This window comes from Homo sapiens, chromosome 5, assembly GCF_000001405.40.
Source record: "Homo sapiens chromosome 5, GRCh38.p14 Primary Assembly".
Classification (NCBI taxonomy): domain Eukaryota; kingdom Metazoa; phylum Chordata; class Mammalia; order Primates; family Hominidae; genus Homo; species Homo sapiens.
Window position 1 is genome coordinate 756,591 of NC_000005.10, and position 21,010 is coordinate 777,600.

The following is a 21,010-nucleotide window of genomic DNA, read 5'->3' on the forward strand; positions in this document are numbered from 1 at the left end:
TGACCCCAAAACCCTTTACAGCTTGAGGGACAGAGCAGGGCCACAGGAGGTACGCCCCAGGTGTAAACACAGCCGGATACAGCCCCAAAGGCCCTGGAGGAGCCTGGGTTCTTTCATACCAGAGACCCCTGAGCACTGGGAGAGAAGACAGCCTCAGACAGGAGGAGCAGGGGGAGGAGCGAGGGAGCTGCACAACCTACCCGCTCCCTCTAGACCCCAGACGGCTCACTGACGGACCCTCTCCCCGAGACTTGCTCAGGGAAACACCCCCTAGACTCATTCAGGGACCCCAGACTCATTCAGGGACTCCAGACTCTCTCAGGGAGCCCAGACTCACTCAGGGACCCTGGGCCTCTGTCTTGGGCCCTCTGGGCTCGGAGCCTGGCTGTGGGGGCACTGGGGAGAGGGTCCTTGTCCCCTGGAGCCAGGAGAAGCTGGGCTCCCCGTGACTGGAACGTCAGCTTCCGCCCTCAGATACTGGCTCCCTCCTCCTCTCACCCTGGGACAAACACAGACTCCCCATGGCAACCAAATAGAAGGGGTGGAGTGCGGGGCCCTCCCGTCACCCTGCCTGGCTCCTGGACCGCCTTCTAGCCATGAGTTCAGGGTTGACAGCCATCTCCACAGGGCAGCCCAGAGGCCCTCACAGTGTGGCCTAAGCTTGGCATGGAAACGCAGGCTGCCGGCCTGTGTCGCACAGCGCTGTCCTCCTTGGCCCCAGGGGTGAGGAAGAAGGTGCTGGCCATGTGCAAAAAGCCACGTAGGGATTTTAGCAGAAGGCTGCCAGCAGGGCGGGTCCTGCACCAGGCCAGGGGGCTGCTGTCCCTCCTGACAGAGCCCCTCTCTGGAGCCCCCTCAGGCAACGTTGGGACAGGTTCACTGCTGCTGGGCTCACCCTCAGCCTCGTCCTGGCACCACCTTGGGGCATGGGGTTAGGGTTTTTATGCAGCAGCCCTTCCCTGATGAGGGTCCCGTAAGAAGCGTGCTGCAATGCATGGGAAGCCTGAGTGTGAAGCTGGTTCCGACTGAAATGCAGACACAGGTGCCGAATCCCTCAGCAGGATGCACCGCACACCCTGCATCTTCCAGGCACTCACGTGGCCCCGGGCCCTGGGTGCCGGTGTGTGTGAGCTGGGGAGGAGACTCTGTGTGTGCAGACATGGCTGCAAGGAGGACAGGCGAGAATGATCTGGATGCCAAGGGGATGGGACTGGGGAGCTGCTGCCCAGGCCGGGGTGTGGTGGGAGCTAGGCAGTGCAGCAACGGGGCCAGCCAGGCCCTGGGGGACTCACATGGGGGCCAGGACTGGTCAGACACTTGCAGTGGCCAGTCTAATCCCACCATGGTAGAGGAGAGGTCTGCAGGGGCCCCACCGGACTTGGGAGTGGACTGAGGCTGCAGGGGCTGTAAAGGGTGTGGGTCAGCTGGGCCGGGCACAGGGCTCACTGTCCAGCTGGTGACACTGACATGACCGAGCCTGCATCCCGGCTGTTGTCCCCATGTACCCGCTCCCTGCAGGCTGAGCTGGGGACACTGCACTATTTATGTGGTCACCGGGGCAACAGGGAGCTCGTCTGGAGCCTTGGGACGCTATCGGTGGCAGCTGAGGACAATGAGATGAGGCAGGAAGCTGCACTGTGGCCCAGGGGAAGCCCCTTCCTCTGCAGAGCTGGAGCAGCACTTCCCTCACTGGAAACCAGTGGCAGGGAGGGTGGGGCCAGGCAGGGCCTCTGCACGAGCAGCAGGTGAAGCTCAGGCTGAGGATGCCCTCCCAGGCCCTTGGTCGCCACATCCGACTGCAGCCTCACATTCTCCGGGCTTCGCACAAAGAAGCCCGCTGCCAGGGAGACGGTGCTGCTGCTGGGGGCCACCAGGAGACAGCCTGGGGATGGTGTGGCCCTAACCGGGACCCATTGACTTCCCTGTGGAGGAGCTCAGGGCTGTCCTGAGCCTGAACCTGCCAGGCAAACCCCGTGGAGCTGCCTGAGCCCATTCCCGAGCCAGTCCCCAAACCTGCAGGCGCCATGGCCAGGCAGTCACCCTGAAGGCGTCCACCCAGAAACAAGGGTTCAGCTGGCAAGGGACTCCCCCCCACCAAGATTCCAGGGCAGTGTCTTCACCTGGACAGCTCCCTGGGACTCAAAGCTTTTTTCATGGAACCAGGTTGAAGCAAATCTTTCACCGCACACTAGGGTGCCCTGCTGTCCATTGGCCGCACTTTGGCCAGCGAGGTCCGCGCTCTGCGGGTGGGCTTGGGTCGTCCTCCTGGGACATCCGTCACCCATAGGAACGATGCTGGTGACCTTAATTTGGCTATGTTTTGCCCAGACTGACCCAGCTAGCCACTCTGCCCATCACCCACTCGGGTAACCCTTCCTGAGCTGGCGGGGAGCCCCGGGATAGAGATGACACGGAGCACCGTGTTCTCAATTTTCTCTGCTTCTACTTTCACGTTTAATTTTATGCCGGTAGTGTTTTATGTTCCAATGAGCAATAAAAAGTAAAAGAAGTAGAGTAAGTGTCTCCCTTTCATCACCCAAACTGCCTGCCCTCTGGAAGTTTCGGTCTCAAGCTGTCTTGAGAACCGTAGCTATGCTGGAACCTCCCCTAGCAACAATCTGTATTTTGTAAATAAACGGCGCCGCAGCGCCAGCCCAGAACACACACCCTGCGCCCTTTGTTAACACTGCTAACCTTTCCCCCGCCCTGTTCTGCAGGCAGGAAAAGAGAGGAGGTGGAGAGCGAGCCCACAGCCCCTACTCCTGGGGCCCGGTGCGGTCACGTCTTGTCGTCTTATCAATCCCTGCGGGGTTCAAAGCTGACACGTGCCACTGAAGGCGCCGCGCCACTCCATGCTGGTGAATCTTCCACTGCAGCTACCGAGCTCGTGCTGCCCTGGGCCACAGCAAGGAGCTTTGCTGGGAAGAGATTTCTCCAGATTAAACAGAGTTACAGATTCCAATCCATTCCACACAACAGGCCCTACAGACGCTGTGGTGGCGGCGGAGCCTGTTTCCCTTTGCAGAAGAACAGACGCGGGCACGCGGGCACTGAGGCATGCTCTGGAAGGGCCCATACACGCGGCCGCTGGACGGTTGGCCAAGCCTGGCACTCAAACGTCCGCCTAACCTGGGGTCTTTATTCCAATTCTTCCCCACTTTCCACAACACAGCATCCCTTACCCTGCACCTGACCTCCCTTGGGGTCAGGGGCTGCAGCCACTGGGCCTGGGAGGTCACTTCCCAGAGCCGCCCGGGTCCCTGCAGGTGCCGGATAGCACAGGCACCCTCCAGCCGCCACAATGCAAAGCCACATGCTGCTGGCCAAGGGGCCCGAGGGGGTCGCTGAGGTGCAGGCATGGGGAGTGCAGCCGGGGATGCCGTCCTGAGCCCAGCGCCGGCCAGCGGGAGGGGCAGCATGGACAAGGGCTGGGGCACCAAGTGCTCCTTTAGAAATGGAGATCCAGGTGTGGAGTGGGGGGTACAGGGGAGCCACAGAGGGTTCACCTACCAGAGAGCAGGTGACAGCTCAGAGGCACGCGTGGCCGAGCCACGGGCCAAAGGAAGAGTGGAGAGAAGGGATTCTAACAGCACATAAGGAAACAGCCAGGTGTGGAGGGTCGACTCGATCCCCCACATAGGTCCAAGCCCTAACCCGCAGCACCCGTGGATGTGACCTCGCTTGGAAATAGGGTCTTTGCAGATAATCCTGTCAGGGCAAGGTCTTTTCGGGTAGGCCCTACTCCAATGACTGGCATCTTTACAAAAACGGGAACCCAACGGCAGCAGACACACGCAGAGAAAAGACGGTGTGAACACGAGAAGACGAGCCACAGAGAGCGGCCAGAACCATCCCCTCCAGCAGCTTCAGGGGGAGCAGTGTGCAGCCAGCACCCGATTCCAGACCCCGGGCCCCAGAACTGTGAGACCAGATATGTCTGCTGTTGCAGGCACCCGGTTTTTGGTGCTTTGTGATGGCAGCCCCAGGACACGCCGCGGCCACCTGGTGATGCTGAGGGAGAGAGACAGATGGTGGCCAAAGCAGCAGGGGAGGGCACCTTCCTCTGCAGAGCATGCACTGGGCCCTGCGGTGGAATCGCAGATGCAAACACAGCATTTTACACCCCTAGCGTAACTGTGATTCAGATGAGGATTGCAACAGAAAGCGATATGCCTGAGACTCAGAGTCCACATGTGCACCACTCCGGACTGGCAGGGGCAGTGACCCGGCCCACCCTCCCAAGGAACCGCTGCGTCCCCACCTACAGGGCCTCCTGACAGTGCAGCGGGACAGGCCACCACCACCTGTGCAGCGTTCTTCTGAAACTGCTCAGCTTCAACCACACAGACCCCCAGGTGGTGGAGCAAGACACTGGTCTGGATATGCCATGATGCTGTGGTCAAGGAGATACCAGCAGCTGCCAGGAAAAGGCAGGCGGGCGCTGTGCTGACCTAAACACACCAAGAGACTCCGTCGCAACATGCCCAGAACCTCGGCCGGATTCTGGATTAAAAAATCCTGTCAAGCACATCTGGGGGCTGTTGGAGAATGTTGGCGTGGACTGCCTTGACCACGGTCCGATCACAGCCTGTCTTCTCACCTGCCATGAAGGTGCAATACAGGAGGACACCCGTGTCTGGAGGGCATGTGCTAGAGCAGGGAGGTGGGCCGTGCAGCACAGGGTTAGTGACTGTGGGCTTTAGTGACATCCTCATCCCTCACTGCAGGACACCCGGGGCCAATGGGGCTGCCATGCAGCTCTGTGGGTCTGTGGATTTCTGGGCCCTGGAGGTGGGGGAGGCCATCTAGGACCCAGGCTTTGGGGGTATGGGGACTCAGGGATGTAGGTGGAGAACTCGGAGGCTGGGCCACAGCAGAAGCTGGGCCAATGGCAGGGGATCTTGGGGAATGCCAGCAGGGCCACAGGGCACACCTTGGGCCTGGCAGAGAGAGGCCACTACTCAGAACTATGACCTGTCCTCCTGATGAGTGGAGGGGCGCAAGGCTGGCAGTGTGTGCCGGGTGGACACGTGGGTTGCCACGTTCCAGCACCTCCCATGGTAGAAGCCTGAACCCCCACATGTGTGTCCAGGCCTTAGAACCCCATGGAACCCCCACTCTGGTGACTGGGCACACTCAGGGCCTCTCAGAAAAGGCCTCTTGGGAAGTGAGCACTGCTTCCCTAAATCCCTTAGGATTGGGAAGGCCACGGAGCAGACAGGGGGACACAAAGTCTTCTACTCACAGCCCTGGACAGCCTCTCACAGACCAGACAGCCACCCCTAGCCCCAGACAGCCACTCACAGCCCTGGACAGACACTCCTAGCCCCAGACAGCCACTCAACTCACAGCCCTGGGCAGCCACTCACAGTCCTGGCTGGCCACTCACAGCCATGATGGCCACTCACAGCCAAGAGGGCCACTCAACTCACAGCCCTGGAGAGCCACTCACAGCCCTGGATGCCCACTTGCAGCCCAGACAGCCACTCACAGCCCAGACAGCCACTCATGGCCCCAGACAGTCACTCCCAGCCCCAGACGGCCACTCACAGCCCAGATGGCCACTCAACTCACAGCCCTGGACAGCCACTCACAGTCCCAGCCGGCCACTCACAGTCCCGGCCAGCCACTCACAGCCCAGATGGCCACTCCCAGCCCTGGACAGTCATGCCAGCTCCAGATGGCCACTCACAGCCTCAACGGCCACTCACAGCCCCAGACAGCCACCTACAAACAAGACGCAGGTTGCAAGAGGGATGCAGCAAGATAGCGCCCAGGATGAGTGTATGCCACAGTCAGCACCCACGTCTCTCACTAAAGCACATCCTTGGACCCCTGGCAAGGCTCTCTGTGAGACCAGCTGGACCCAGCCCATTTCAGACTTGTAGATAGGGTGTGGCCTGACCTCCCAAGGGAACTTTAGCTGCACAAGGCACCCCAAGACCCAGAGACTGAGCCCCAAATCCCCAGGGAGACACCCTTGAATCACTAAGCCAGATGGGGTGGTTGAATGAGAGGCCAAAAGCCTTACTGGCAGTGTGTATCTGTCTGTGCATGCCCGGGTCTGTGCATGTGCTCACAGAAAATACATAGCTTTAAACACACATTAAAAAGTAAGAAAGGTCTACAATCAATGACCTAAGTTTCCGTCTTAAGATGATAGAAAAAAAAGCAAAGTAAACCCAAGGTCAGTTGAAGGAAGTAGTAAAAATAAAAGCAGAATTTTTTTTTAATAGAATAAAAACAGGCAAACAATAGAGAAAATTAATAATTAAAAAGCTGACTCTTTTCAAGATCAATAAAAGGGATAAGCCCCAGGAAGACTGATGAAGAAGAGGTAGGAAGACACAAATGGCCAGGATAGTGAGGAAGGAAGGCGCAGCACTCAGACCCTACAGATGGGAAAAGGATTGTGGGAAACACTGTAAACACCTGTATTCCAAGAAATATGACAAATTACATGAAATACTCCAATTTCCTGAAAAACACAACCTATCAGCTAGGCGCGGTGGCTCACGCCTATAATCCCAGCACTTTGGGAGACCGAGGTGGGTGGATCACAAGGTCAGGAGTTCAAGACCAGACTGGCCAATATGGTGAAATCCTGTCTCCACTGAAAAATACAAAAATTAGCTGGGCGTGGTGGCACACACCTGTAGTCCCAGATACTCAGGAGGCTGGGACGGGAGGATTGTTTGAACCCAGGAGGCAGAGGTTGCAGTGAGTCGAGATCACACCACTGCACTCCAGCCTGGGTGACAAGAGTGAGACTCCCATCTCGGGAAAAAAAAAAAAAAGAAGAAGAAGAAGAAAAATACAACCTATGAAAATAGAAACAAGAAAACAGAGAAACAGAATAGCTTTTTTATCAAAGAAACTGAATTCATTATCAAAAGCCTTCCCACAAGGGAGACTGTTGCACTTGGGGAAAAATCCAGCCAAGTCTAGACTGAGGGGCCTCCTGTGGGCAAAGGCATCAGTTTCTCTGACCAGTCAAAGGCCTGGGAGCAAAACGGATGGAGGAAAGGGGGCTTCAGGGACACAGCAGCCCCATGGCACGTGGGCTCCTGATGTGAGCCACGCATCTGTAGAGACTTGTTTCGAAAATTGGGGAAATGGCCACATGGATAAGAACGAATACAGGATGTTAAGAAATGGCTATATAATTTTTAAGTGAGATATTTTTAAGTGAGATAAAGCATGGTGTTATAAAAATAAAAGTTTGTTAGACACAAACTGGAGCATTTACAGGTGAAATTTCCCGATGTCCGAGATTTTTAAAGGTTACTCGGATACACATGCATGTGAGATATAAAACAAGGTTAGCAAAAGCTTCACTGTTGAAGCAGGTGACTGGCACCTGCGGGTCCGCTTGACTGTACTCTCTACCTCTATAAACTGAAAGACGCCACAGGAACAAGTTTCAGGAAAGAGAGACATGGCCTTGCCCATGGCTGAGGCACTCAGGCTGGCAGGCTGCTGTCCTCATGGCACCTGCTCACTCTGCATCCAGCCCCTACACCTCCCTGCCTGCACCACAGCGATACACACCACGCTCACCATTTACCAGAGACTTGCCCGGGATGGCCCAGCCCAAGGACCACGCAGTGGTGTTGAGAGGTGACAGCACGCTGGCAGCCCTGGCAGCCCTCGCTCACTCTCGGCACCTCCTCGGCCTCGGTGCCCACTCTGGCCACACTCGAGGGGCCCTTCAGCCCACTGCTGCACTGTGGGAGTCCCTCTCTGGGCTGGCCGAGGCCAGAGCCGGCTCCCTCGGCTTGTGGGGAGGTATGAAGGGAGAGGCACAGGCGGGAACCCAGCACTAGTTCGGGGTGGGCATGGGCTCAGCGGGCCCTGCACTCAGAGCAGCCGGCCGGCACTGCCGGCCCCGGGCAGTGAGGGGCTTAGCACCTAGGCCAGCAGCTGTGGAGGGTGCGCCAGGTCCCCCAGGAGTGCTGGTCTGCTGTAGCTGTGCTCAATTCTCACTGGGCCTCAGCTGCCTCCCTGCGGGGCAGGGCTCAGGACCTGCAGCCCGCCATGCCTGAGCCTCCCCGCTGCCATGGGCTCCTGCGCAGCCCGAGCCTCCCCAGTGAGCACCGTCCCCTGCTCTGCGGCACCCGGTCCCATCCACCACCCAAGGGCTGAGGAGTGCGGGCACATGGCACGGGACTGGCAGGCAGCTCCACCTGCCCCCGGTGTGGGAGCCACTAGGTGAAGCCAGCTGGGCTCCTGAGTCTAGTGGGGACTTGGAGAACCTTTATGTCTAGCTAAGGGACTGTAAATACACCAATCAGCACCCTATGTCTAGCTCGAAGTTTGTAAATGCACCAATCAGCACTCTGTATCTAGCTAATCTGGTGGGGACTTGGAGAACCTTTATGTCTAGCTAAGGGACTGTAAATACACCAATCAGCACCCTATGTCTAGCTCGAAGTTTGTAAATGCACCAATCAGCACTCTGTATCTAGCTAATCTGGTGGGGACTTGGAGAACCTTTATGTCTAGCTAAGGGACTGTAAATACACCAATCAGCACCCTATGTCTAGCTCGAAGTTTGTAAATGCACCAATCAGCACTCTGTATCTAGCTAATCTGGTGGGGACTTGGAGAATCTTTATGTCTAGCTAAGGGATTGTAAATACACCAATCAGCACCCTATGTCTAGCTCGAGGTTTGTAAATGCACCAATCAGCACTCTGTATCTAGCTAATCTGGTGGGGACTTGGAGAATCTTTATGTCTAGCTAAGGGATTGTAAATACACCAATCAGCACTCTGTGTCTAGCTCAAGGTTTGTAAATGCACCAATCAGTGCTCTGTGGGGACTTGGAGAACTTTTGTGTCTAGCTTAGGGGTTGTAAACACACCAATCAGCACCCTGTCAAAACGGACCAATCAGCTCTCTGTAAAACAGACCAATCAGCTCTCTGTAAAATGAACCAATCAGCAGGATGTGGGTGGGGCCAGATAAGGGAATAAAAGCAGGCTGCTCAAGCCAGTAGCAGCAAACTGCTTGGGTTCTCTTCCACATTGTGGAAGTTTTGTTCTTTTGCTCTTTGCAATACATCTTGCTGCTGCTCACTCTTTGGCTCCGCACTGCCTTTATGAGCTCTAACACTCGCAGTGAAGGTCTGCAGCTTCATTCCTGAACCAGGGATACCCCAAACCACCAGAAGGAAGAAATTCTGAACACATCCAAACATCAGAAGGAACAAACTCCAGACACGCCGCCTTTAAGAACTGTAACACTCACCGCGAGGGTCTGCGGCTTCATTCTTGAAGTTGGTGAGACCAAGAACCCACCAGTTCCGGACACAGTGTCACCACTTCCCCACTGAGGAAGGCTCTAGTGAGAAATAACACATCCTACTTTCAGAAATATGGTTCCAGTGCCCCAAGGCACCGAACGCAGGCCAACTGTTCCCCAGGCCCCTTTGTCCCCACACATCCATGTCTCAGTGACCCTAGGGGGCCTGGGGTTTCTCAACTGAATGCCATGGTCAGCTGGAGGTAGTGCAGAGCCCACATGCCCCATGGACATGCACCCTGGGAGATGCGAGCAGACACAGGCTCCCACCCGCTGGAAGATGATGGGAGCAGACATGAGTCCCCGCCTGATGGGAGGTGAGAGCAGATGCAGGTCCCCTACCCACTGGGAGACAGGAGCAGACACGGGCTTCCCCCTCTTTGGGAGACGGGAGCAGACCCGGGACCCCTGCCGCTGGAAGATGGGAGCAGAACCAGGTCCCCCACCTGCTGGGAGATGGGAGCAGACGGCCTGACATGGGGTCAGCGGCTGCCCTGTCCAACCTGACCCTGAGCCATGTGGGAGCGGTCTGACATAGGGTCAGTGGCTGCTCTGTCCACCCGACGATGGGCCACGCAGGAATGGCCTGATGTGGGGTCAGCAGCTGTCCTGACCCTGAGCAGGGGCTGCACAGAGCACGAATGGCCACTGGGCCCACCTGCAGGCTCGGGGGACATAGTCTGGCCCAGGACAGGTGACTGGTGCCACCGGGCAGCCATGGCCCAGACCCCACAGCCAGGTCCATCGCAGGGTCCTCCAGGAACCCCTCCCGCTTAGACCATGCCACGATGAAAAGGATACCACATAGGCGATGTATTTCCACGAGTGAGGCAGGAGGGGAATGAAGATCCTGAAGGTGGCCAAGGAAAGGCCAACGAAGACAGCCCAAGTCACCACCCGGAAGTAGTGCAGGGGTAACGACCAGCCGTTCACTCTGGAGATGCGGGGCGGCAAGACCAGCTCTTCATTGTTGCGTATGGCTTCTGGGGTGACGGAACACTGGCTCCCGGAGCGGGTGTCCATCTGCAGGACACAGAAGGGGAGGACCTGCGCCATCAGCTCCGGGGAGGGCCGGCCCCACCCACTGTCAGGGAGACCACGGGGACTGGGAACATGGCCCCCAGGACCAGCACTGACAGCCAATGGCCCAGCATTGCCTGGGGCCACGTTCCCCGCAGAGGGAGCAGGGGTTGGGCTGGAGTCGGTGCAGGGCCCTGTCCAGGGGAATGAACAGACATGCTGCAGAATCTGACCCTGGCCAGAGCCGAGTGGCAACAGAAAATGGCTCTCCAGGGTGTGGAGGACCCTGGGCAGAGGACCTGGCCTGTGGCAGACCTGGGTGGATGACTGAAAGCAACGGGAAGACCTGAGCTGCCATCTGGACGGCTGCGGGATGGCCCTCTCCCCACCCACACACATGTGGGGCTCCGGGTCCCACACCAGGGCGCAGCTGAAGCTGGACAGCAGCCAAGGGCTCCCCGGGGCCAACACCTGCCTCGGCGCACACTGCACGCCTGTCTCATCTCCGTAGGCTGAGTAGAGCAGCTCCAACTCGTCCGACTTCAAGTCGCCAAATGCTGAATTATTCTGCATCGAAAGCGCAGTAGTGGCACTGGAGAGAAAGGTGACTGGGAGGAAGAGGAGAAAGAGAGCATCACTGGACTCACTGGAAGGACTCGGTGTGCAGGCCCCACCCCGCTTCTCCAGGGGCTGAGGGACCGCCTGGCTGGCAGCCAGCACCCCAGTCTCACCTCTCTTGCTCTCCACAAAATTCTCACTCCTGAGTTTTCCATGTGTAACCAGCAGGGGTGTAATTCACCACCCCTCATTTTACTTCTGCAGGCCAAAGACCGCAGGGAAATGAGCTCTCTGCAAAGGGGTGAGCTCCACAAGCAAAAGAGCTGTGTGGAAACGTGGGCAGAGCGCACCGTCTGTCACTGTGGAGGATCCCAACCAACACACACCGCAGGGACCACGCCTGCCCAGGGCCAGCTCTCGCTGTGGGGGACACAGGCCAGGTGTACTGTGCAGTGTCCCATAGGGTGTGGAGCAGCACCCCTGGCATCTCCCTACCATCTGGTGCCAGCAGCACCCCCAACCCCAGTGGGACCATCAACACGCCTCTGGACACTGCCAACATCTCCAGGGACAAAAGTGCTGTGGTTGAGAACTGTGTTAGAGGGTGAGAAGAAGATGTGTGTCAAACACAACAAAAAAAAAGTATCAACAACCACAACAGCCCCAAGAGGAAGAGGGGAGCAGGGGCTGGTGAAGACAAGTGGTGAAGGCAAGAGGATCCTTCCCAGTGGAGGGCGTCCTTCAACAGGAGACCCAGACCAGGCAGAATTTCAACACCTGGAGCTGGAGGAAAGAACATTCCAGAAACAAGGAAGCTCTTGAGCCAAGGCCATGGTTTGGAGGGAAGAGTGAGCTGTCCCATTAGCAGATGGTGTGAGTGGCTGAGGCAGAAAGGGCCGGCAGGAGCAGTGTCCATGCAGCTGTCTGCATGGGAGGGACCCAGCAGAGGTGGAGAAGTGGAGGGTGGGGCCATGCAGGAGGTCCCAGCAGCAGCGCAGCCAGGAGGCAGCAGTGCAGATGGAGAGAACACACAGGCCAGACCCAAGGCCCAGGGGCCACACATTCTGACCCCTGAAGGGATGTTCTGTAATGCGACAGGGACAGAAACACAAGGACCCCAAAACACTGACCAAGGTGAAGTCCAGTGATGCAACCAAGGTGCCCGCTGTGTGTGTCCCCATCCAACACGAGTTTCATTCCTGTCACTGTAACTGATCTCAATCTTACCCATGTGAAAACATGAATCCAGGTACAGTGAGGAAACTCTGAAGTACGAATCAGCAGCATTTGCCATCACTCCACTAAACCCCTGCCACCTTCCCTGCTCCGGCTGGCTCCTGGGACGGGACTATGGATTTACCTTTGTTTCTTCTCTCGTCTTTGAAGCCCAGCGTGGTGAAGCCTGGGAGTAGCTTACTGGAGAGCGAGCTCAAGTCCACCGGGTGGGTCTCCTCCTCTGCAACACGGACATGGCGGGCCGTGAGTGGCAGGTGTGACCCCAACGCGGTGCCCCAGTGCAGTGCCATGAGCCCTTTCTCCACATCACAGTGGATGTGATTGGTGCGGGTGGGGGGATTTTATAATGATCACCTGAAAACAAATTTGCAAAAGCCAACTACCATTCTCAAAACTAACTGCATTTCAATTTCATTTCTTTATCACCCCAAAGTCAACACAATAAAAAATACCACATCTTTGGCCACCACACCAGCAATACTTTGAGAACATTTTCAAATGGATCACTCAACAACTCCAAGAAGAAATCTTGTCCTGCGTGTTCTAACAGCGAAACGGTGGCGTGTACCTGGAGCGCGTGCATCTGACAGCATGTCTGCCATGCTCAAGTCACCACCCACACACCACTCATGGGATCAGAGCAGGAGTTCCTCAGTTCCCAACCGCTGCCTCGGTCTCAACACTCTCATAAGCTAAATATGGATCAACGGTCCATCCTCTTTAGGAAAATAAGCTGAAGATTATATAGATCAGCCCGTTTCTATCCTTCACACACTGGAGAAAACCACGCTGGCATGGTGGAGCTGGGTGAAAGACCACCAGCAGGCATGCGGGTGAGAGCGAGGGAAGCAGGAATCTAGAGGCAACCCGTGCCAGGCTGCACGTTCCTCACGCGAGCCCGCGAGTGCGTTTCAAACCCAAGTGATCACACTTTCGTTCAAAGGACAAGCCTCTTAATTACTTCCAGGCCAACAAAGTGCCCCTGACGGGCTGGACAGGCCTAGTGCGCGCCATCCTTCAACACTGTCCTGGACATAATCATCTAACAGCTCTTCTTTTTCTAAGACTGCTTTCCAGATTCAAGGAGCAGGGTGGGCCAGCACTCTGGTCTTTGCTGAAGACTGAGCTCGGGATGTGAACCCTTCCTGATGCTAGTGAGGTTTGGCCTTAAAGGCCTCTCGGCAGCTTTTCAGGAACGTGGCTCGAGTCCCGCTGCTCCCAAGGAGCCCTGACCGAGGTCTGACCAGCACCACAGCCCCGCGAGACGGCCGTCCACACCACTCGGTGCACATGTCCTCCAACTCCAGCGACAGCTTCTTGGCTGCCCAGTCCTTCGAGGGGTCCCCCGGGGACTTGGGGGGCGTCCTGTTGGCAGCTTTGGCAGGCTTGGCCTTGTCAGCCATGTTGCTATGGAGGAAGGAGAGGAGAAAGGTGTCACCCGGGCCATGTCCCAGCTGAGCCGGGTGCAGCCCAGGAAACCCCGCCATACCAATGAGCACCAGGACGTGGCGAGGGCTGAGATGGGCAGGCCCTCCTGGGGCTGGGCGTGAGGCCCCTCAGACCCTTGGAGCCAGCTGCCCCGCAGGCACGCATGTCCAGCCCCGGGCAGAGTGGAGCCAAGCGAGGCCTTGCCCACTGCCATCATTGGGCCAAGGACCCCCTAAGCCAAATAAAGCCAGCAGCACGCAGAGCCCAGGGTGGGAGCTGAGCTGGGTGCCAGGGGCTCCAGGCCTAGGAGGCTCAGTGTGTGACTGGCAGCATCAGAGCCTATTCCGGGTCCCCTCCCCGCCGCAGTTCCACTGTCCCTCCTGTGGACGCCCGCTCTGCAGCTCTGGAGGACACCTCGGGATCACGCACTCCCCAGGGTCTGTGACGTGCTGCCTTCCTCTGGGAAGGTCCACAGCAGTCGTGCGACAGCCGCTCCCTCCCCACTGCAGAGCCTCTGACCTTAGATGGAGCTTTAGGCTGGGGAGGGTGTGTGGTGGCCCTGGGGGTGCCTCAGGATGCTCTTCCCAGGAGCCCTGGGCCTGGCCCCAGCCAGGGGAGGGGACTGCCAGTGTGCAGGGCTGAGGCAGTGCTGGGGGCACCGGTGTCAGGGTGCAGGGATGCCCTCTGGACTTGGTAAGGCGCCCGCCCCCAGAGCAGGTGGCTGGGCTGTGGGGCTAAGATTGAGGGGTGCCACCCAGGCAGGGCTTGGGGACGCAGGGCTACGCCACAGGGCAGGGCTGCCGAGGCCACCTCCCTACCATGCATGGGCTTCGGTAAGACCCAGTCAGGCCCTGAAGGACTCAAGGCTGAGGTGCTGGACTCAGGGCATGAAAGCTGCTTCCCAAAGGGGCCTGGACACCAGGTGGGCCGTCAGCACTGCACTGAGAGCTGAACATGGCCTCTGCCCACAGACACAAGAGCCGGTGGGAGGGTCCGTGCCGAGGACACATGTGCGTGTCCCAACCCTGGGACTCACGAAGCCCTCTCAGATCTGGAGTTCTCAGCGCCAGTCATGGCCAAAGTGTGGCTCTGTCATCGTGGGGGTCCTGAGTGTGGCCCCTGCTGAACTTGAGATCCCACAAATTCCCCCAAAACAGCCGGAAAAAAATCCAGGGGCACTCCCTACACTGAAGACCTTAAGGGCCTCAGGCCCCACCCACTCACCCCTTTCCCTGGAAGACACCAAAAATGCAGATGCCAACCCAGCGGAGGATGCAGGGGCAGGATCCTGGTGGGGGCTGGGCCGCATGGGGGCAGGGTCTCATGGGGGCAGGACCGCGTGGGGGCAGGATCCTGGTGGGGGCAGGATCCTGGGGGTGGAAGGGCCGTCTGGGGGCAGGATCCTGGGGGTGGAAAGGCTGGGTCAGGTGTCGAGCCAGGAACCGTTTCCAGTTTTATCGCTGACAACATTTCTTTGAAACAGGAGCTTCTCACAGGCCTGGCCTGTGTTTCCCCTGGGCCTCTGCAGCAGGGGTCGCTGGACAGGAGGAGCAGCTGAGAAATTACCAGAAGCAATGGTGGGTTTTGTGAGCACCCAGAACAGTGGTGGGCGTGCGGGTCAGAGAGAAAGAACCTTCTGGGATGCTTCAAACTCAGGGCTGCGTTCTGTGGTCTCATCTCCTGTGGGGATGCGCCTGAACAGAGACCCTTATTCACACACCTCAGAGAGTCATCTGAGAACCTGCACCCCGTGGGGCCCGCCTGGGAGCAAAGGGATGAGGGAAGCCCCTCAGAGCCACCTTCAGGGCTCACGCAGGACTTCCCAGCCCATCAGCACGTGCTTTGCATGAGGTTTTGATAAGCTTGGAGGTTGGCCTTGGAGGGCTGAGCGGGACATAAAACGTCCTGCCCTCGTGAGGCCTTCAGTTGGGACAAGTGATAAACAAATAAGCAATGACACATCAGGCAGCGAGGAGTGAAGAGGAGAAACTGAGGCAGGTCAGAGGGAGGCCAGCAGGCGATTTCAGACCTGGCGGAAGAGAATGTGCGTGAGCAGAGATGCGGACGGGTGGGAGTCACGACGCGTGAGAACGGTCCGGCCCGCGGCCCCTGCGCCCCTGCTGGGCAGGCACCACCTGTGCTAGGCTCAGCCCCTCTCAGCACAGCAAGCAGCATGAGATGGCACGCATGAGAGCACGGTGGGGGCCGTGGGGGAGAGGGCAGAAAGGAACAGGGGTCAGACCATCGCCGGATCTACTGAAGACAGACACTGCCTTCAAACGTTCTGAGGAAAAATGCTTCGGGCTGGGACTTGGATACCCACGTCCACTGTCCCACTCAGGCTGAGGGGAGCAAGGCCACCTGCAGTGGGTGTGACCTCAGAGACGTGGCCACACCCCCTGCGGAGGTGCTTGGTGACTGGGCTTCCCAGGAAGACGAGGGTGACAGCCGTCAACAGCCGAGAAGAAGTAGTAGATGCAGGAACCCATGGCCGTCACACGGGAGTGAGTCCACGGGCGCTTGGGAGGGCTGAGAACCAGGCCCAGGCAGTTCTGGAGGGAAAAGTGGAACCCGTCCCAACTCAGCCCCAGCCTTTCTGCACCAAGGGGTGGAGCAGTGCCGACCTCAGACGCCAGCTGCCAGAAATGCTTCCAAAGCCCGCCTCTGCGTGGGGTGTGTGCTGAGGGGTCTCACGTGGGGACTCGCCTCAGAGCCCATCTGAGCTTCACTGTTCTAGGTTCTTGTAGTTTTGTTTTACCTCAAACATGTATTAGTTTAACAAAATATTTTTAAAAAAGTTTTTAAACTAAAAATGACAGAATGAATTAGGCACGATGTGCCGCTGTGGGAAGACAGCCAGGCTGCTGCTGGGTCTGGAGGAGCAGGACACGGGCCACACACACAGATCAGGAGCGGAGAAGATGGGAGATGCACTGTCTGGATCGCTTCATTAGACCCACGTGCTGTTTCCACAATGACGGTAATAAGAATACATTTAGTTTTAAGAGAATGAGGAGGTGTCAGACGGACAACGAGCCTGGGCGGGCGCCTCTACCTTGGCGCTCTCCACCGAGCATGGCATGCTGCTGTGCCAGCTGCTTCTCCTTGGATGGGCAGAGGCCAGGTGTCCTCCACTTTCCCAGTTTCTGGGTGCAGTGCACCTGAGCCCTGGGTGCAGACCCTCACACCATTTCCCCCAGAGGCTCTGCTCTTTCACCGTGAGGGAAAAGAAGGTTGTGTAGCAGAAGAGACTCCAGGAAGACAAACTGCTCACATGGGGTCCAAGGACAAGCTCCCAGGCGTGTACCCACCATCTCCACGTGTGTGCCCTGAACCTCCAGGGGGTCGCTCTTCACTCCCAGACCTGTGCCCACCATCCCACATGTGCCCTGCACTCCCAGGCCTGTGCCCACCATCTCAGCTGTGCCCTGTACTCCCAGGCCTGTGGCTTGCATCCAGGTGTGCACCTGCACCCTCTCCCACTGGCCAGCACCTCCCTGGTAGGAGGGACGTGCCCAGCCCTGCCCCGACCCAGGTGCCTGCTCACAGCACATGCCCCTTCCCTGGCCAAACCCCACGGGAGCCCAAGTGGGGCCTGGCCAGGAACTGCTTGGAGGCTGAGCCCACCCCACTTGCGCCCCAACCCCCAGGGCCAGGACCTGCTTGGAGACTGAGCCCACCCCACTCCCACACACCTGCAGCACCTCCCCAGGGAGTCAGGAGGATGGTGCCTACGGGCTCACCCACAGGTGTGGGCAAGACTGTGTTGTCCAACTGGCATCTTCAAAACAGGCTTGAAGAGGACAGAAGATGAGGGCAGAGGTGGCACCACAGACCTCAGAGTGGGGCAGGCAAAGGCAGACCCCAGAGGGTGGCTGTCCGAAGCATCCTCGCTGGCCAGGGAATGCCTGTCCCAGGTGTGTCACCAGCTCCAAGGACTCGGCCACCTAGGCGGGGCTTCGTCCCAGACACCGCAGGCCACCTTGGCCCCAACCCCACAGGCTGTTCCTGTTCCCAAGAGGCCCCACGGAAAATCACCTGGGCCCCATTTGTCAGAATGAATCTCCTGGGAAATGCCTTCAGACTGGACACTGGACTGCCCAAAGCCAAACTTACAGAAAACCTGCCAGAACAGAATTGACAGGGCTGGGGAAACAGCAGCCCCAGCCTCTGATCACAGAGCTGTCCAGGGGCTGGAAACCCGGGTGTCCATGTGGCATCAGTAAGCGGGGCCAGGCACTAGGACTGACCGGGCTCTGTCACTAGGAACAGGGGTCTCGCACTTGGGCCAGGGGGTTCTCACTAGGACCAGGGGCCTGTCAGTCACTAGGGCCGGGACCTGTCCCTTGGGCCTGGAGCCTGTTACTAGGACCTGGGGTCTGTCACTACAGCCAGGGGTCTGCCCCTTGAGCCTGGAGCCTGTAACTACGGCCTGGGGTCTGTCACTAGGGCCAGGGGTCTGCCCCTTGGGCCTGGAGCCTGTTACTAGGACCTGGGGTCTGTCACTAGGGCTAGGGGTCTGCCCCTTGGGCCTGGAGCCTGTAACTAGGACCTGGGGTCTGTCACTAGGGCCAGGGGTCTGCCCCTTGGGCCTGGAGCCTATTACTAGGACCTGGGGTCTGTCACTAGCGCCAGGGGTCTGCCCCTTGGGCCTGGAGCCTGTAACTAGGGCCTGGGGTCTCTCTCACTAGGGCCAGCTGCTGTTTTAAAGATAGCAGCAGCCTCGGTGCTCCCTTGTTCACTGCCCACGCCCACGCGGGGGTGGCGCCGACAGAGCCTACACCACTGCTCTTCACGTGGATGGCTGTGGGGTGGCTGAGCCTTGCTGGCAGAGGAGGCTGGTGGACAGGCCATGCTCACATCATCAGCAGTGCCGGGTCAAAGCTGGAGGCAGGAGCCATGGAGTCAGTGGGAGCTACTACCCCTCAGCTCATCACCCCTCCCTGGGACCTGAGACCTCAGAGCCAGCCCTCGGCCCTGCTCAGGCTCTGGCCTCCCTGAGAACCTCTGTCCTGGTCACAAGTGTCCTGCAGGCCCCCTGGGTTGTGCTGGGCTGGACCAGGCCAGGGCGTGACCTCTGACAGCTCCACCTGCTCTGGAGAAGCCACCAGCAGCTTCTCCAGCTGCACCCGCTGACCCCCAGAGCTCGCTCCCAGGCAGGTGCCCATGGTGGGACAGTTGCTTGCGCCTCAGTCTCCTCATCCTTGAAGGGGTGCAGCCGCTCCCCATCTCCCTCGCACCCGATGGCCTCATGCAGGCACAGCCTGAGGGAGAACCTGTCTCTGCGGAGAAAGACTCTGTGATGGCAGCCAACTGGATTCCACCAGAACCCGAAGGCAAGCATTCCTTGGGAAGGGACCAGGCTGGGAACATCAGGCACGCACGCCACACACTCAACCCAAACCTTCTGTTAACTCAGGTTCCCAGGAGCCCCGCGTGCTTCTGCCTGGCAGGAGCCGATGCTCGTGCCCTGGAGAACTCCCTGTTCAGGGATGACAATGGGTTCCCTGGTGATTTGGAGGCCTGGGGCCTGGGTGGGAGCTGCTCCCTCTAACCCTGGAGACGCCGCCCAGGAGTCCAACGTGCTGTGACTGCAGGATGCCCCTGGCAGGGGCCATGCTGGCTCAGATGCCTCTCTCCAACCCCTTCCTTCCATGCCCTCGGGGCACTGGCATCCAGGGAGCTGTGAAGGACACGCTGTGTTGCAAGCTGACTGGGAAACAGGTTGGAGGGGTGGGGGCCGAGGCGCTCAGCAGTATTCAGGCATCTCTCAGCTGGTGACAGGAGCTGTCCCAGGCCCTGCAGGTGGGAGTGCATGCCAGGAACCCCTGGGGGTCCCTGGTCCTCTCTCCATGGGCAGATTCCCATGCAGATACCCTGGCCTCCGCAGGCTCAGCTGGGTGTACTGCCGCTGGGCTCTTCAGAACCTTTACGCCCAAGTCCTGTCCAGGGGGAGCACCCTCCACCCCAGGCTGGCTGCCATCACAGCCCTCAATCCTGCCCAGAGTCCCTGGAGACTGTTGTCATTAAACCCCACTCCTGTTTAGGAAACCCTAGGGCCAGACCCCACTGCTGGAACGGGACCCTCTCGTGCCTGCAGGTGGCAAAGCTCCTGAGGGCCTGATGGACCCTCCAATGTCCCACGGCCACAGGTCCCACCTTGGCACCGAAGCCCTGGGATGGCCCCTCTGCAACGCCCAGTGCTCCATCATGACCTGGACCCAGGTCGCTGACTGAGGGAGTGGAGGGGATCAGGACCAGGGAGAAGCAACCCCCCAGTAAATCCGAAGCACAGGAATGGCACAGCCCCAAGGGAGACCGGGTAGGCCCCTGGCCAGCAGGGCTGAGGGGAAAGTCTCCACTGCAAGGCGCCTGCTGGGCCCACGCAGTGTGCTCCTGGCCTCAAACTGCCCACTGGGCATTCAGCCTGGACAGCTCTCAGCTCGAGACCCTCGCTGGTGAATGGGACAGCAACATCAAAGACCACAGCGACCCGAAGCCCCAGAAGCAAAAGCCACCCTCACAGCGGAAGGAGTGGACAGAGCCCCTGTGGAGCTCACCCAGCCCTCCTGTCCCACCAAGGGGCCTTCTAGGACCTGGGAGCCCTGCCCTCCTGCCGAGGAGGTGCTTCCCCATTAAACAGGGCCAAGGAACAAGGCGGCTCAGGTCCCATTCCTTATTTCAGAGCCCATTTGGGTGCAGCACAGCCCTTTGGCAGATGGTTCTTGTTTTTCACTATCATCGCACGGCCCTCCTGCTCCGCGGGACTCTCCCTGTGAACCGCCCCACTCTTCTCAGCCCAGGCCGCCTGTCAGGCAGGCAGAGCTCCCAATCAGAACAAAGCTGGCAGTTTTGAGTCCGTGCCTTTCCCCCTGCAGCACAGGACGCAGTGTGTCTGGAATTGGTGGGTTATTGGTCTCGCTGACGTCAGGAATGAAGCTGCGGAGCCCCGCAGTGAGTGTCACAGTTCTTAAAGATGGCGACCCTGGAGTTTCTTCCTTCAGATGTTCAGATGCGTCTGGAGTTTCTTCCTTCTGGTGGGTTCGTGGTCTCGCTGACTTTAGGAGTGAAGCCGCGGACTCTCGCAGTGAGTGTTACAGCTCTTCAAGGTGACGCCTCTGGAGTCATTCATTCCTTCCCGTGGGTTCCTAGTCTCGCCGGCTTCAATTCAGACCTCAGTGGTGAGTGTTACTTACGCCTCTCAGAGACAGCGCGTCTGGAGCTGTTCGCTCCCTCCGGTGGGCTCGTGGTCTGGCTGGCCTCAAGAGCAAAGCTGCAGACCTTCGCTGCAGACCTCCCTGGTGAGTGCTACAGCTCACAAAAGCGGCGCGCACCCAGACTGAGCGGCAAGATTTATTGCTAAGAGCAAAAGAACAAACTTTCCACAGCGGAGAAGAGAATGGAGTCAGGTTGCGGCAGGGCGTTCCGGCTACCCGCTTTTATTCCGTTATCTGACCCCACC

At 58.5% G+C, this 21,010-nt stretch overlaps 1 protein-coding gene and 1 pseudogene across 19 annotated transcripts in view, besides 4 other annotated features; both read right to left on the reverse strand.

Annotated features, from left to right (window-relative positions):
- Nucleotides 1-21,010, reverse strand: part of ZDHHC11B (zDHHC palmitoyltransferase 11B (putative)) — a 74,375-nt gene that overhangs the window by 46,236 nt on the left and 7,129 nt on the right. For 10 of the 19 annotated variants that reach the window (XM_017010117.2, XM_017010116.3, XM_047417580.1 and 7 more), the window contains exons 1-3: nt 12,245-13,347; nt 10,802-10,934; nt 10,108-10,329 (exon numbers count right to left, since the gene is read on the reverse strand). In XM_017010117.2, coding sequence (XP_016865606.1) covers nt 10,108-10,329 — 222 coding nt within the window. In that variant the 5' untranslated portion in view covers nt 10,802-10,934; nt 12,245-13,347. The other 9 variants (NM_001351303.2, XM_017010111.2, XM_017010115.3 and 6 more) reach the window with 6 other exon arrangements.
- Nucleotides 1,806-2,649: an enhancer, noted in NCBI's record as "H3K27ac-H3K4me1 hESC enhancer chr5:758511-759354 (GRCh37/hg19 assembly coordinates)". NCBI's record gives its function as "activates a minimal SCP1, AML or CMV promoter by ChIP-STARR-seq in primed H9 embryonic stem cells {active_cell/tissue: H9 hESC(primed)}" and the evidence as "EXISTENCE:reporter gene assay evidence [ECO:0000049][PMID:30033119]".
- Nucleotides 2,650-3,493: an enhancer, noted in NCBI's record as "H3K4me1 hESC enhancer chr5:759355-760198 (GRCh37/hg19 assembly coordinates)". NCBI's record gives its function as "activates a minimal SCP1, AML or CMV promoter by ChIP-STARR-seq in naive H9 embryonic stem cells {active_cell/tissue: H9 hESC(naive)}" and the evidence as "EXISTENCE:reporter gene assay evidence [ECO:0000049][PMID:30033119]".
- On the reverse strand, nt 10,792-12,340 carry BRD9P2 (bromodomain containing 9 pseudogene 2; annotated as a pseudogene).
- Nucleotides 15,174-15,817: an enhancer, noted in NCBI's record as "H3K4me1 hESC enhancer chr5:771879-772522 (GRCh37/hg19 assembly coordinates)". NCBI's record gives its function as "activates a minimal SCP1, AML or CMV promoter by ChIP-STARR-seq in naive H9 embryonic stem cells {active_cell/tissue: H9 hESC(naive)}" and the evidence as "EXISTENCE:reporter gene assay evidence [ECO:0000049][PMID:30033119]".
- Nucleotides 18,990-19,159: an enhancer, noted in NCBI's record as "experimental_86882 CRE fragment used in MPRA reporter constructs". NCBI's record gives its function as "activates a minimal promoter by MPRAs in K562 erythroleukemia cells, with activity observed for both the introgressed and non-introgressed 5:775780 variant alleles {active_cell/tissue: K562}" and the evidence as "EXISTENCE:reporter gene assay evidence [ECO:0000049][PMID:34662402]".